This window comes from Homo sapiens, chromosome 5, assembly GCF_000001405.40.
Source record: "Homo sapiens chromosome 5, GRCh38.p14 Primary Assembly".
Taxonomy (NCBI): domain Eukaryota; kingdom Metazoa; phylum Chordata; class Mammalia; order Primates; family Hominidae; genus Homo; species Homo sapiens.
The window spans coordinates 83,420,829-83,437,279 of NC_000005.10; the positions used below are offsets into that span (position 1 = coordinate 83,420,829).

General features: G+C 37.6%; 1 pseudogene, besides 2 other annotated features; it reads left to right on the forward strand.

Moving 5' to 3' along the window:
* On the forward strand, positions 5,848–6,202 carry FTH1P9 (ferritin heavy chain 1 pseudogene 9; annotated as a pseudogene).
* Positions 6,119–6,278: an enhancer, noted in NCBI's record as "active region_22743". NCBI's record gives its function as "activates an Ori minimal core promoter by ATAC-STARR-seq in GM12878 lymphoblastoid cells {active_cell/tissue: GM12878}" and the evidence as "EXISTENCE:reporter gene assay evidence [ECO:0000049][PMID:35858748]".
* Positions 9,813–9,862: a silencer, noted in NCBI's record as "silent region_16153". NCBI's record gives its function as "represses an Ori minimal core promoter by ATAC-STARR-seq in GM12878 lymphoblastoid cells {active_cell/tissue: GM12878}" and the evidence as "EXISTENCE:reporter gene assay evidence [ECO:0000049][PMID:35858748]".

The window sequence follows — 16,451 nt, forward strand, 5'->3', positions numbered from 1 at the left end:
AGAGATCTAAAAATCTACGAATAGCATACTAAACAATTTGCTCATGCATTCGTCATTTTAGAAAATATTTCTTGAGCACCTATGTATGTAAAGTGCTTTGCAGGCCAGTCGCTAGGTATATAGGTATATAGTATCTTCCTCATGCCCCCTTAAATCAAATTTGTAATTAAGTTCTGTCAATTTTACTTTTGAAATATTTCAAATGATTATTTATTTCTCTCATTCTTCACTTACAACATTTTGGTACGAGACACTATTACCTGCCAACAAGCCTACTTGGAAAAATCTAGTTGGTCTTCCCGCATCCACTCTCACCCCTTCCAAACTTCCCCCATATTGCAAATGGGTAGATTTTTAAAATGTTATTTTGATCAAGTCACCATTCAACCCCACCCCAAATTCATTCTATTAAATCCCATTGCTCTGAGAATGACGATCAGAATCACTTAGGTCGCATAAAGCTATACGGTCAGAATCTTTCAGTTCTCCACCCCATCTCAAACCACTAGCTGACTCCCTCTCCCTCTGCCATCCAACTGCATTAGCCTTTTAAAGTTCCTAAAGCAACTCTTGACCCATTCAGCCTTCGTATATGCTGTTCATGTCATCTGGACCAAACCTCTTCCACTAACTTAGTTAAACCCTGATATTGTTTGCCTGTATGCCCACCCAAATCTCATCTTGAATTGTGGCTCCCGTAATTCCCATGTGGTGTGGGAGGTAATTGAATCATGAGGGCAATTTCTCCCATACTGTTCTTGTGGTAGTGAATAAGTCTTACGAGATCTGATGGTTTTATAAGGGGAAACCCCCTTCACTTGGGTCGCATTGTCTCTTGTCTGCCACCATGTAAGATGTGCCTTTTGCTTTCTGCCATACTTGTGAGGCCTCCCCAGCCACGTGGAACTGTTAGTTCATTAAACATCTTTTTCTTTATAAATCACCCAATCTCAGATACGTCTTTATCAGCAGCATGAGAACAGACTAATACAAACCCCATTCATTTTTCAGATCTCAGATTCAGGGAACCCTTTCCTGACTACCTCAGAGTAGGTCAGGTTGTTCTGTTGTATGCCTTTGTAAGCTGATATGGCTTGGATTTGTGTCGCTGCCCAAATCTCATGTCAAATTGCAATCCCCAATGTTGGAGGAAGGGCCTGCCGGGAGGTGATTTGATCATGGGGGCAGATTTCCCCCTAGCCATTCTTGTGATAATGAGTGAGTGTTCATGAAATCTAGTTGCTTAAAAGTGCATAGCACTTTCCCCTTCACTTTCTTCCTCCTGTTCTAGCAATGTAGGATTCACCTGCCTCTCCTTTGCCTTCCGCCGTGATTGTAAGTTTCCTGAGGCCTCCACAGCCATGCTTCCTGAACAGCCTGCAAAACTATAAGCCAATTAAACTTCTTTTCTTTAAAAATTACCTAGTCTCAGGTAGGTTTTTTTTATAGCAATGCAAGAATAGACTAATACATAGGCAGAACACTTATCTCTACTTGTAATTTTTAATTATTTATTGTGAGTATTAGAATAATATCTATTTTCCCCAGAAGAGCGTTAACACCACAAGGGCAAAGACTGTGTTTGATTTTGCTCACTTGCCTGTCCCAGCAGCACAGCACCTAGCACAGCACCTAACATGTAGTAGGTAGTCTATAAATATTTGTTGAGTAATTGAGTAACATAGCTGTAAATGTGTGCTGTACAGCTCAGTGGAATAAACAGTGGAATAGACATGAGCTAAGACAATCCATTAGGGCTAAATTTCTGCCTCAAGAAAAGCAATATGCCTTTAGAACTTTTGGGTCCCCAAACCTGAAATACTTATTGGGGCATCCCATCATAAACCAAAAACCATTGCTTTTAATCATGAGTACTGAGTGGTTTTAATCATTCTAGGAAATATTTCCTGAAATGTGCTGAGCATATTATTGATTTGAATTTCTCAAGGGGAAAAATATTTTTTTCTTGGTATTGACATAAATTTAGAAACCCAATTTTTAAATGATTAACAATGATGAGTGAAGCAAGGATGATATTTCTATACCTACAATTTTTCTAAATAAGTCAATGGCTCTCTATTCCCTCAGTCTCAGTCGTGACCATCTCTGCATAAGCAAAACAGCCTGATGACTTTAACTTCCACAGATTCTCTCAACACAACATCCATCAAGCATATGACTTAATTCAATTAGTATCTACTTTCAGCCAACCTGTATTTTTTCTTTGATTTGTGCAGATCTTCAGTCAAAATGTAACTAAGGTTATTTTGCTATAATAAAGCTTAGTTATCAAAAGATTAGGCTAGGATCAAGACTTGCTGAGAAGAGAGGAAAGTTATTGCATGCTGTTTAAAAATTTTCAGGCCATTGATTTTATTTGAAGATACCATTTATCCTAATAACATGTAGAAATGAATAACTTTAATGCACCTCAAGAAGCATACACAGTGGTGTTAAAATCAGTCTTGGTGAATCAGATTATTTTTTGAGTTTACAAACTGTGTTTGCTATTTTGAATAATGTTACAGTAAACTTTTATAAGTGATATGCCTGGAGGGTGGAGTTAGGAGGGACTTTCTGGCTGGTTGTGGTGGCTCATGCCTGTAATCTCAGCACTCTGGAAGGCTGAGGCAGGCAGATCGCTTGAGGTCAGAAGTTCAAGACCAGCCTGGGCAAAACCCCATCTCTACAAAAAAAAAAAAAAAAAGAAGGACTCTCAATATCTATGTATCTGAGATTTTTGTAATTTTGTTTAATTTGAATTTTAATAATAAACATGCAATACTTTTGAATTTAGCAAAAAGTAATAAAAAGTTTTTAAAAGAACCCATTTGGTGAATTATTTCTCAAAACTCAAAGTTTAGCTTCTGCTTTCACTTACAATTTTGTAAATCACGAGTTTGACTCTCCTAATGAACAATGAGAACAGTCCAGTTAAGCGAGAAACTTTGGTATTAAAACTAATCAGAGCAACACAAGATATTTTTTAAAAAAGTAAGTAAACTTAAATCCAGAAAATGATTAGTCATTCCCAAGAAAGAAGATATTCTCAGCTACTTTCATCTCTGATGGAACAGTGAAAGAAGTTTGCCATAGAAGGGAGTGACATAAAACCAGCCAAAATCAAAAAACTGTAGCAGTTGCCTGTGAGCTTGCAAGATGGATTAAAATCCCAAGGAGTTCCAGACTCAGAGAAGGTCTCCACCTATCCACTAACTCTTTCCCAAGGGGTTCACCTAGTGTTGGGGAATAGAATGCTGAAGGCTGCAGTCACGGCAGGAGAATGAAGACAAATCCTGAGGATCTCCAGGCCTTCTTTGAAAGAAATGTAGCATCTGCTGAAGGCTGAGAATAGGGCAGGAGAGTAAAATCTCTTCCAGGCTCTCAAGGGCCCCATCGAATGCATTATCTCAGATCTCCAAAGATAGGCCAGAAATTTCCTGGGATAAAAAGCCAATAATTGCGCTAGAAAGCAAAGAGGTTTTCCCAGAAATTAAAAAAGCTGGTAGTCACAGGCTGTAAAGGTGTCTCCCACATTCAGAAAGCCAGGTGACCTCCTGGCTATAGAGCACAAAGAGATCTTTGGAGTTTTATGAGTGGTCAGATCTCAAGTCCTGCTGGAGGAAAGGTCCTGATTCCAACATCAAATTATTTGAATCCAGTGGTGAACTGAATAACTAAAGCTTTAATGAAGCCCAGACACAACTAATCTATAGATTAGATTGACTCAGCCCCTCATATTGGTGGCATGACAGAAGTAGGATGTGCCTTATTCGGCGGGTAAATATTACTTAGGCTTCACTGTTGGCTTACACACAATGTTGAGTACACAATACAAAAATTTAAGTCATGCCAAGTGGTAAGAAAATTTGACCCATAGTCAAGAGGAAAACTGGTCAACAGAATCAGATGCAGAGACGGTCAAGTATAAAATACATCAGATCAGGACTTTAATAGTGCTGTGATAAACACACCAAAGAGTCTAGTGGAAAAGATTAAAAACAATGTTTTATTTAGTTTTGGCTATTTTTTTCTATTGTGTCATATAAATAGTTAGCAACATAGGACTGGCTACTTTTGCTTAATGTCATCATTCTGTGATTTATTCATGTTGCTGCACACAACTATAATTTGTTTTTTCAGTGATGTATAGAATACCATTGTATGACTATACCATAATTAATTTAACCATTCAATCATCAGCATACATTTGGGCTTCTAAATTTTTACTCTTACAAAGACTGTCATGATGCACATCCTTGTGTAAGTCTCCAATGCATACTCAAGTGTTTCTCTATACACTATACCTATGAGTGGAATTTTAGCAGATGGTACATTTTTTTCCCCACAGTAGTTGTACAAACGGGGCATGAGTTCCTATGCCTTTATATCCTCACCAACACCAGATGTCAAACTTTTTTATTTTTGTCAATTGATGGATATAAGTTGGGATCTCATAGTGGTTTTAAGCTTCAGTTCTCTAATTTCTCATGACATTGAGAATCTTTTCATATACTCATGGTCTATTTGTGTTTTCTCTTCTGAGAGAAACTTAACTTTTTTCTTATGAATTCATAGTAATTATTCATATATTCTGCAAACAAATCATCTGTCAGTTATATATGTTGCAAATCTGTTCTATTCCTTCATATATTACTGAATCCACAATACATTGCTATTATTTTACTTTAAATATTTGTTTTTTAAATGTTAAAAATGAGAAAATGTCTTGTATATTCACTGTTTCTGACAGTCCTCATTCCTTTATGTAGATCCAAATTTTAATTTAATACCATTTTCTTTCTGTCTGAAGAACTTCCTTTAACATATCGGACGGTGTATATCTACTGATAATGAATTGCCTGCCGACACTAATTTGTCTGAAAAAAGTCTTTATCTAACCTTCCCTTTTGAAATTTATTTTCACTGGGTAAAAATTCTATGTTGATAGTTGTTTCCTTCACAAATTTAGTGTTATACCTACATTGTTTACTGGCTTGCATAATTCCTGACATGAAATCTGTGGTTATTCTTATTTTGTACCTCTATTGGTAATGATTTCTTTTTCCCAGCACTTTAGAAATGTACCAGGATCTTATCGATTCTGTGGCTTCTCGTGATAAATCTGTGGTCATTTGAATTGTTTTTCCTCTGTATATAAAGTATCATTTAAGAATATTTTTCTATTCCCTCTTCTCCCTTCCTTCTGGGATTATAATTCCATGTAGATTAGACCTATTGATCCTGTCCTACAGGTCAGTAGACCCTATTATTTTTATTCTCTCCCCACCCTGACAGTCCGTCCTATATGGTATTCTGTCTCATGAATTCTAACTTCCTAGGCTTCCTGAAACTCTGAACTCTATCTCCTCAACTCAGTGAAACTTAGACGTTTCGTAAGTCTCCCCTCTCCCCGGTGGCCTGTAAACTGCCTCCAGGAATAAGTTCACTCCTTTGTGAACTCTGTGATTTCTTTTGACCAATGTCTTGACATCACTGTTTTAGATATTTTGTGACATTTTCTAATTGTTTAGGATAAAAAAAGATGTATCTGGTTCTTGTTACTCCACCAGAGCCAGAAGCAAAAGCCTACTATTATCTTCTTACAAGGAGAACTAAAGCATCAAACTTTTGGGGAGTGAGTAGATGCTAAATGCAGAGAATGATTACAGTTTCTAGTCTTCAGCAGTGCTTGGATGGAACCTGGAGCTTGATCTTAATCAGCCAGTCAGTCTGTGCCTCCACTTCACCACCACATTCTATGATCAAATCACCCCAAGGGCTCCTTTACTCCAATACCATGCAGCAACCACCTCTTCTCAGTTACCTAATATGGTGATATTTTTGCAGGTGCCCCAAAACTACCACCAGGACTACAGAACCAAAAAGGTGGCCAAACTTTCCACAGGATATTATTAAAGCTGATCTTGATAGTGGGAGAGCAAGCTGATTGTAATGGAATATATATAATACCTAGACAATGTATAAATCTTGTTCTTATTGGAACTGTAAAAACTAAACGCTGACAAAACTGACTCCCATATTTTTGACTTCCTTGAGACACATTACCTAAATAAGCAGGTAAAATACATTTTTAAAATAGATACTCATGTAGTAAACTTGTGCAAGAGAGGGGTTCTGCAATCTGGCATTGGAGTTTCTTTGACAAGCACACCTGGGAGATGGTGACAATGAGAGTGAAGCCTCAGGGTGGTTTCCCCATAGCCATGAGAATAGCTTCCCATGTTGAATAATGAAGTACTTTCATATCTGTGTGATCTTCATACTTTCTGCAGGGGCTTACCAAAATATCCACCTCTGCTTTCTTCCTACATTTGCACTGTTCCATTCAATGAGTAATTTGGTACCAAAAATAAAAGATACTAACTTATCTATTAAAAATGTTAAACAGGCCGGGCATGGTGTCTCACGCCTATAATCCCAGCACTTTGGGAGGCTGAGGTGGGCGGATCACCTGAGGTCAGGAGTTTGAGACCAGCCTGACCAACATGGTAAAACCCCATCTCTACTAAAAATACAAAATTAGTCAGGTGTGGTGGCGCATGCCTGTAATCCCAGCTACTTCAAAGGCTGAGGCAGGAGAATCACTTGAACCTGTAAGGCGGGGGTTGCAGTAAGCCGAGATGGCACCATTGCACTCCAGCCTGGGCAATGAAGCGAGACTCTGTCTCAAATAAATAAATAAATAAAGTTAAACAAATTAGTAGCAGAGGTTAGCAACTTTTACATAGTAGTTGGTTATTGATAGAGGAATATTTGATCTACGTATTTTGACTTTCAGCTTGAGTTTTTTCTTTTAACTCAATAAAAGAATTTCATGACAGTAAAATACTTGAGATGTCAGTTTTAGGGCTAGGTTTTCTCTTCAGTATTTTAAATACATATAAAATTATTAGTTATGTGTTAATGTTTTAGACTTTCTAAAATACAATTTTTTTTTTTTTTTGAGGCGGAGTCTCACCCTGTTGCCCAGACTGGAGTACAATGGTGCTATCTTGGCTCATTGCAACCTCTGCCTCCCAGGTTCAAACAATTCTCCTGCCTCAGCCTTCCAAGTAGCTGGGATTACAGGCGCCTGCCACCACACCCAGCTAATTTTTGTGTTTTCAGTAGAGATGGGGTTTCACCATGTTGGCCAGGCTGTTCTCGAACTCCTGACCTCGTGATCTGCCTGCCTTGGCCTCCCAAAGTGCTGGCATTACTGGCGTGAGCCACCGTGCCTGGCCCAATACAAATGATTTTTATTGAATACAGCTTCTTTGCTTTTCTTATTTGATTTTTCCAGGGTTAATTTGGTTATCATGAATGTTTAATCTTCCAAATTCATTCGCATAATGATAATCTTGCTTTCTAAGGATATTAGATGAGAATAAGCTTTTGAGCCAAATAATAGTTCATTCTTAGAAATAGGAAGTAAAACATTGCCAAGATTAAAACAAGCCCAAACACTGAGGTTCAAGGTCAGTTTGAAACAGAAACCACAAATTTTGATTGGATCTAACCTTGGCAGCATAAGACTCACATGAATTGTTTTTAGTATTGTATAGCAGAGATATGCATACACAGTCTAACAAAAGGAGACACAGAGACCAGTTCAAAGTAGCAGAACATTCAGAAAAGAATTAAAAACTCAGGTCTGTTTTAGTGAACATGGGTCTGGAGCCCCTGAGTCTATGTCCTGTCACTAACACACCTGGAGTAAGTTAACAGAAGGACAAATGCTGTTAGAGAAGTCAACTAAATGTTCTGAGGTGAATGAACGGCACACACACAGATGTGTGACAAGTACACATTCTTCCTGACAGATAGTCTAAGACTAAAAAATGAAAGCTCAAAAGATAGAATTTAAACATGAAAACAAGTCAATTTTGAAATTCTCATTTTCTTACTTTACATGATGTAACTAGGCCAAAATCCCCTTCTCTGGGTATCAGAAGTCTAGGAAAGGCAAAAAGATATTTATAACATTCTTATAAGTCACTAAAAAGGCAGTGTAAATATATGCTAAAACATTTTATTTTTAAAGTGCTACTATAAAATGTTACTATTCTATAGTTGAAAACTGGTTTCTCATTGTCAGTGGATCTCATGGAATACCACTATTGAGTTTGCTAGCACTTCACTATGTTTCTTTTCTTTTCCTTTTTCTTTTCTTTCTTGTTTTTTGGAGACAGGGTCTCTCTCTGTCACTCACATGGAAGTGCAGTTGTGCAATCACTGCTCGCTACAGCGTCCACCTCATGGGCTCAAGCGATCCTCCCACCTCAGCCTCTTCAGTAGCTGAGACCACAGATGTGAGCCACCACGCCAGGCTAATTTTTGTAGCTTTTGCAGACAGGTTCCTACTATGTTGCCCAGGCTAGTCTCGAACTCCTGGGCTCAAGCAGTCCTCCCACTTCGGCCTCCCAAAATACTGGGATTACAAGTGTGAGGCATCATGCCCAGCCTACTGTGTTTCTAGGAGAGCCTTGCAAATTCAAAAACACAGGCCATAACATTTTTAAAACTCTTTAAAAGACTCTGAAACATAATACGCATGAAAGAAGTATAAAACATAGACAATAAATTATCATAAAACAAAATACTGTGGAACTATAACATGGATGAAGAAATAGAATAATGTCAGCAACCCACAAGCCCTTCCCAAGGTTCATGACATATTGAGTTGTTCATGAAAATAGCTCATAACGGTTTTGAAGAATAAAAAGAACATTGTAAGTCATATCTTCAAAAATTAGTATTCCATATAAGTAGCATGTACCAGACTTATTGGAACAGTCTTGGTAAATTAAAACCTACAATAAGCCAATATTTCTATTTCGTTTGAGTACAACATTTCCAGATACGAGCTAGAGATCATGAATATCGTCAGCATCTGACTCAGCGCAGCTCTAGCCATGCCTTGCTTCATGATGATATTACATTGCTACGCTCTGAGACCCACCCGGGGGCTTTGCTTTGTGATCTGAAAAGCCTGGCTGAGAAAATAGGCAAATATTCCCTTCTGGAAGCAAAATTTGTGAACTCATCTCCTCTCCCAAACATTCATTCAGCCTTATCTCACCTTTCTCAGAGGCTGCCTCTGCCTCCTTACAGGATACATTCTGCCCTGGGTACCAGGCAGACATCATCATGGTCATTATTTAATGCACTATCTGTTTTGTTATTGCCTGTTAGCTTTTTTTTTTTTCTCCAATTATACTTGGAGGGTTGATTCTAGACAGGTTCTATTTCCGCATTCCCAGCAAGCAGCTTTGTGCCTAGAACTCACTGTGCATATATTACACATTTATCAATGAAAGGTTTTAACGTGGATCAGGATGACTCAGGTGACACTGAGTCTGGTCTGCCTGTAGGAAATTGATCCTTGTTCTATCATCACCCAATACTACAATCTTAGGCAAGTGATAAGATAAGCCTGGCTCTCAGTATTTTAATCTGCAAAACAGGGATGACCGGTAAGGTGATCTCTAAGAGGACCGTACAGCTCCCAAATGCTTTAATCCTGCTAGATCCTCAGAATACTTGAGTATGAAATCTTCCAAAATGATGGCACCCAATTTTCACACTAAATGGGAAATCTTGATTGTCTTCACCACTATTCAAAACTGTGATTTTCAGACAAAAACAATTTTAAAACAAATGTATTTACCTTTCTCAAGACCACCAAAACGCTTAGCAGATTGGTTTTTGAACGACAGGACAAATCCTGGCCTGTCCTGGAGATGAAACGCCACCTAGTGGATACATTCCTAGGCAGTGCGTTCCCCACCGGAACAAGAGGGCGCTTTGTTCTCTGTGGCTGATGGCTTCTACTCATTTTCTCCTTCCTCCACCTGACACTCCTATCTCAACCTTGTCATTTCTTTGGCTTTCTAAAAATTATAGGAATACTTATCTTGGTAAGAGAAAATGTGTTTATTTGAACCATGTTTGATTTAATTTTTACCTATTTGCTTTACATTGCCAGCGTAGTTGGCATTTTAAGGAAAAAAGATAAAAGTCCAGCATACTCAGACTGAGTCTTTTTAGTTTCTTATCAATTTGGTTTGAAAACAATCCTTGAGCATTCGGAGACGCCTTGGCTAGACAGACAGAAAAAGGATAGTAGAGTTCACATGTCTCATAAGCAGAAGAGACTATAGCGCCCAAGCTTTTGTCCAGTTCCTCACCAAAGGACCAGTATTTTACAATTTTTCTTGTTTTAAAGAGAAACCATTATAGACAACTAATCTAGCGCTTTGGACAAGTAAATTTACTTCAGTGTGAAGTGGAATCTTTGCCTGGATAATGTTTTCACTGAGCTTAAGGAAATTTAAGCGACGGCTACTTAAAATGAACAGAAGGACAGGATTATACTAGTTATTTTTTTCTCTACCTAGCAGAAAAATATCCATCAGTTCTGCCTGTTGAGTTTCAAAGAAACTTAGAAAAAGGTGGTCTTCGTTAATTGATGAAACATCAAGAGGATTGCTACAAACCTCTAGCCCAGCTCCTGATGCCTCTAAGGTACTTTATCATTTTTGCAGCAGAAACTTACTCATTTAACCAGAGCTAATGATTCCTTCCAGCAGTCCCATGGCAGCCAGCTCTTCATATTGTAATTGCATCACTGAGGCTCTGTATGTCTCCAGCCTTTCCTAAAAAACCTTTTTTTTCTTTTCATTAGTTTTTTTTTTTGCTAAGTACCTCTAGCCAGCTCAGGGCATTTTAATTTATATTTCCTACAACCATCAACCTAGTGTAAAATTTCTTCACTTCTTTACAGACTTTTGTTTCTCTTTCTCTGACATCTCTTACTGTATCTCAAAAAATATGGAAGTTTTCTGAACCTAAAAATAATTCTTTTATTAATCCTAATATATATTCAAATTAAAGTTGTCTCCCCGGCCCCACCTTCCTTTCTTCTTTCTTTCCATAAATAAATAAATAAATAAATAAATAAATAAACTCTTTCAGAAACAGTCCTAAGGTATTAATACAATCTCCCTGAGTTCCAGAAACACATTTCCCAGTGGCAATTCTGTAGAGCCTCATTCCTAATGAAACCACTCAAAGGATTATGCCAAGATTTCTAAGTAATAGTCTTGTCCTTCTGCTCACGAACAAGTTTTATAGACTTGCTCTTCTTGCTTGTACCTTCTAGAAGAGGGCATATAGCTCAATTCAAACAGCCAAAAAGAAAAAAAAACTCAGAGGAAACATGGAGAAATTACAACCCTATAGTTAGCCTTATTTATGCTTCTACCCACTCCCACTGAAGGAATATATACTGTCAGTCAAAAGCTGCTCCTGTTCCTCCAATACATTTCATACTCAGAGTTCCTACAGAGATCATAGGCAAACATGAATTTCAAAGTCAATGTGCCAATAAATAAATGTCTATTCATATGTATTAGTTGTCTTAGGTGTTGAGTAGAAAATGGAAATAAAGATAAGGCACAGTTCTTGGATTCTGAGAGATTACAGTAAAATTTGAATGGCAAGATGAACATATAAACATTCATGGGAAACAGATAAGCAGGCATATCATAAGTCAAATTGAATTTTCCTATAGATATAATGGCAGATGTGTTGCTGACCAGGGACTTGACGCTAAACCTTGTATAGAATTAATCATAAGTACGGTATAAATAGTACACCTGCATTGCATAAATGTTTCTAACAGACATATCAAGAAGTCAAATAAAGAATCATGGTGTAGTTGGTTGAATGATGCCCACCCCTTCAAAAAAATATGCCCATGTGTTAATGCCCAGAACCTGGGAATATGCCCTTATTTGGAAAAAAAGTATCTTTGCAGATCTAATTAAGGATCTTAAGATGAGACCATCCTAGATTACCTAGATGGACCTAAATCCTATGATGTATCCTTATAAGAGACAGAAAAGAAGACAAGACACAGAGAAGGCCATGTGAAAACAGAAGCAGAGATTCAAATTATGCAGCCACAAACCAAGAAGCCCTTGGAGCCACCTGAAGCTGGAAGAACTTCTCTTAGAGCTTTTGGAAGGGGAGCAGCCCTACAAACACCTTGATTTCAGGCCTCTAGTTCATACCCATGAGAGAATACATTCTGTTGTTTAAACTACCAAGTTTGTAGTAATTTGTTATGGCAGCCACAGGATACTAATACACATGGTATCTTAGTCTGTCCCTGCTGCTGTAACAAAATACCACAGACTAAGTAATTAGGTAATTTTGAAAGCAAGAAATGTATTTCTCACAAATCTGGAGGCTGAAAGTCCAAGATCAAGACTCCTGTAGGTTCAGTGTTTGATCAGGGCTTGACTCTGCTTCTAAGATGGCACCTTGTTGCTACATCCACTGGTGGGGATGAACAGTGTCTTCACATGATGGAAAGGCAGAAGGGCCTAACTAGTTCCCTTTAGCCCTTTTATAAGGTTGCTAATACCATTCATGCGGACAGAGCTCTCATGGCCTAATCACCTCCCAAGCACCCTACCTGTTAACCTTCAGGCTTAAGTTCCAACAAATAAATTTTAGAGGGACACATACAGTCACACCGTAGTACATGGTAGCCAATCATATAAAACCCTGTTGATGGTCTTCTTTCATTTACCATGATTCTTGCCTTACCTTTACTGTAACGAATCAGAAATTAGAAGCACAGCCATATGGGATTAATAAAATTCAGTAGAGTTCCTATGGGGATTGTAATAGCATTTTTGAAGAGATCCCTAGGGTTGATGGTAAAATTTAGAGAAACATTCCCATGTTTATCCTTAAGTTCTGGGTAACAAGTAAAGGCATTAAAGAGTAAGCTTTGTGGCCAGGCGTGGTGGCTCACACCTGTAATCCCAGCACTTTGGGAGGCCGAGGCAGGTGGATCACCTGAGGTCGGGAGTTCGAGACCAGCCTGACCAACATGGAGAAACCCCATCTCTACTAAAAATACAAAACTAGCCGGGTGTGGTGGCGCATGCCTGTAATCCCATCTATTTGGGAGGCTGAGGCAGGAGAATCGCTTGAACCCAAGAGGCGGAGGTTGCAGTGAGCCAAGATCATGCTGTTGCACTCCAGCCTGGGCCACAAGAGTGAAACTCTGTTTCAAAAAAAAAAAATGAATAAGCTTTGAGTCATCTGTTGCCTTCAAACCAAGGTCTGTCTGGCTTCTTAAGGAAAATATAATTTTAAAATTGTATTGTTTTTCTTATACGTAACACAATTGAGAAAACAAGACCTCAAATCTTTAAGATATCTAAATCAATTGTTTTGAGCACTTTGATCTGCTACAACGTTACTTCATCATTTTGGAATCCTTAAAGCTATGCTTGGATTTGATGACCACAGCCAAAGTCATACATTGTTAAATTTGATCCTGAATGTGCCTAATTAAAAGCATTTGTATTTTAGTCATAAGACTTATTCTTTATCAAATATCAATTGTTTGAAATCATTCTTTTTCCCTTTAATAGTTGTATTAGGGGAAAATTTGAGATGCAATTCAAAAATAATGAGATTAATTCCCAAACAATGCGAGGTGCAGAGTAGGCATTCGATAAATAAAGATGTGTTCAATGAATTAATGTATTCATCTAAGAGTTAGACTTTTTCTTTTTTTCAGATAGAGTTTCACTCTTGTTGCCCAGGCTGAAGTGCAATGGTGCAATCTCGGCTCACTGCAGCCTCCGCCTCACGAGTTCAAGCAGTTCTCCTGCCTCAGCCTCCTGAGTAGCTGGGATTACAGGCGCCCGCCACCATGCCTGACTTTTTTTTTTTCTCTTTTTTTTTGTATTTTTAGCAGAGATGGGGTTTCACCATGTTGGCCAAGCTGGTCTCAAACTCCTGGTCTCAGGTGATCTGCCCGCCTTGGCCTCCCAAATTTCTGGGATTACAGGCATGAGCCACCACACTTGGCTGAGTTTGACTTTTAGGCAGACCTCTGATTAAGATGTGCATACTTAAAATTTACTTGCTAAAGCTGAAGATCTCTATAGAAAGTCAGAGATGGCTGTAAAATAAAGCCCATCTTACTTCCTTATGCAGAAGAAACAGCTACAAATCCCTGAAGGGGCTGGAAGAGTGAAGCTAACCTGAAATTAAATAAGAGAGAGGGTTAGGGCCAGGGTACACTAGAAGGCACGCTCTATCTTAAGAGAGTAGCCACTACTGAGCTGTAGCTAATGGTTGCCATGCAGAAATTTGAGCCTAATGTTGCCACTTTTCTCATATTTTCAAGAAAAGCCAGAAATATAGACGAGAACATTTGCCATTTTAAAAGTTGGCAATGAGTTCACTGAAAAAGAAAACACTCTGTGTTGGCCAAATAAAACACATCTGCTGGCCAGATAGGCCTAGAGCCTTACAGTCTGGGTCTCTATTTCTTACCATCTTCCACTTCTCTTTACTTCCCTTGGATATCTTTCTATTTCCTCTTTCTTTCTCTCGTTCCTTTCAATTTCTTGAACCACTAATTGATTTGAAACCAGCATCTGGAAAAGAAGTTGTACAGGGCAGGAGGACTGGAGCGCTGGAAGGGTTCTGAATGCCAGAACAATGCTTCCCTGGAACAAGGCAGAAAGCAGCCCTGGGAAGCAAGAAGAAGGGCTGTGGATATCATAAATGCTGAAGTTTTGTCCATCATTTAATGAGTATATCTAATCACTGGAATGTTACTTAACCCCTTTGGTTCTTAGTTTTTCCATCTATAAAATGGGGATAATTGTATCAATATCCATTGTACAGCTATTATAAAACCAAATGAAATAATAGTTTTAAATGAACCTTATCAATATAAAGAGCCATATGATTATTAATCAATACCAACATTATTAATAATGAAATAATTATTTACATGCTGATGCTTGTTATTATTGTTTGTAATTCATAAGAAATGTGCCTAACCAGAAGCCAAATAGTCATAAATTAAACATGCCGTGGTGGATTATACAGACAGTATATTTAGTGTAACTTACGTGATAGAGACTAAAAGTGCTATAAAATTTCATAGGAAAAGAAGATTAATGACAACTAGAATAATAAGGGGAAGAGTGTTAGAGTGAGACAGAGTTGGAAGGCTACAGAAGATATTAATATTATTGAGTTGTTGCAGGTGTCAAAACAAATTTCACTTTGGAATTACATTTTCATGAATATATTCTATGTGGAGCACCAAATATATTTAGTTGTTGATTTCTCAACCTTCATTCATTCACTCATTCATTTATTTATTCATTCAACTGATGTTTACTGACCACTTATAGGTGCCAGGTATTTTGATAGCTGCTATGTATACACTGTCCATGCCCTGAAAGAGCTTACTATCAAGAAATTAAGTTCGGGCGATCCTAGGTTAAACAAAATAAAACATTCTTGGGTAGAATTATTGTATACATATATGTGTGTTCAACTGAAAGACTCTCTGGTCTTTTAGTATCCTTGAGTCTGGAAATATAAAGAAAATGGTATGTTATAGTCCTTATAGATTAGTGATTGTACCCATTGCTTAAACTTAGAGATGCTGCACCTGAAAAGTTGTCTAGAGGTTGAAGAAAAACTATTGAGCATATCATTTAAAAACAGAAACATGAGACTGCTTAGAAATAAATAGGTATACATAAAACCACTGTGACTAACTTAATATAAATCCTTTTAAAATTGTCGAGTCATGTTGTTATTACATACTTTATCAATTGATAGAATGTCTATCATGAAGTTGTCCTTGATTTTTTGGATTATTATCAAAAGTTTCTGTAAGATTGCTGGTAACGTGATACACGTTACCAAAGAATTGAAACCCTCCAAATCACGTCATCTGATTGTAAGCACAATATAAGTTGTGCCCCGATGTTCGTTAATAGCTGCTGTAACTAGTGTGGCCTACAATAGTGTGATTCATGTAGGACCTCTGTCCTCAATTCAAAACTCCTAGAAAACGTATACAGATTATGTAAGTAGGGATAAGATTTCTAACATTTCTGGGCTCTAGTTGTGGAAATTAGTGGAATTGTGGAAATTCCACTAGACTATAGAAAGGGAGTACTATTGTAGTATACAACACTGCTGTTGCCTTATTAGTTATAGCATGATAGGTGCTGAATTGTGATTCACAATTTGAAAACACTGTAATCCAAACAATGCAATTACATACATTGCAATAAGAATGTTGTTTTAAAGTTTATATTTAACTGTTTTGCTCTATTTTTTTCTCACTAAAATAGAACTTTAGGAAATTTGAAAACTATATGAAAAAATATTCATCTCATATAAAGCTGGCATAGGCAGGTCTATATCTTACCAATAACTTAAATGTTTGGAATAAGGGATTTGTGTAGAATGAAAGATTATTTAATAATTCATTCATAATTAATTTCAATAAAATTATTATTTTGCTGTCCCCTAAGTCTATAGTTCATTCATTATTCTATGTAATTACCAACAAACAAGCACCGGTAGGGGCAAAGGAA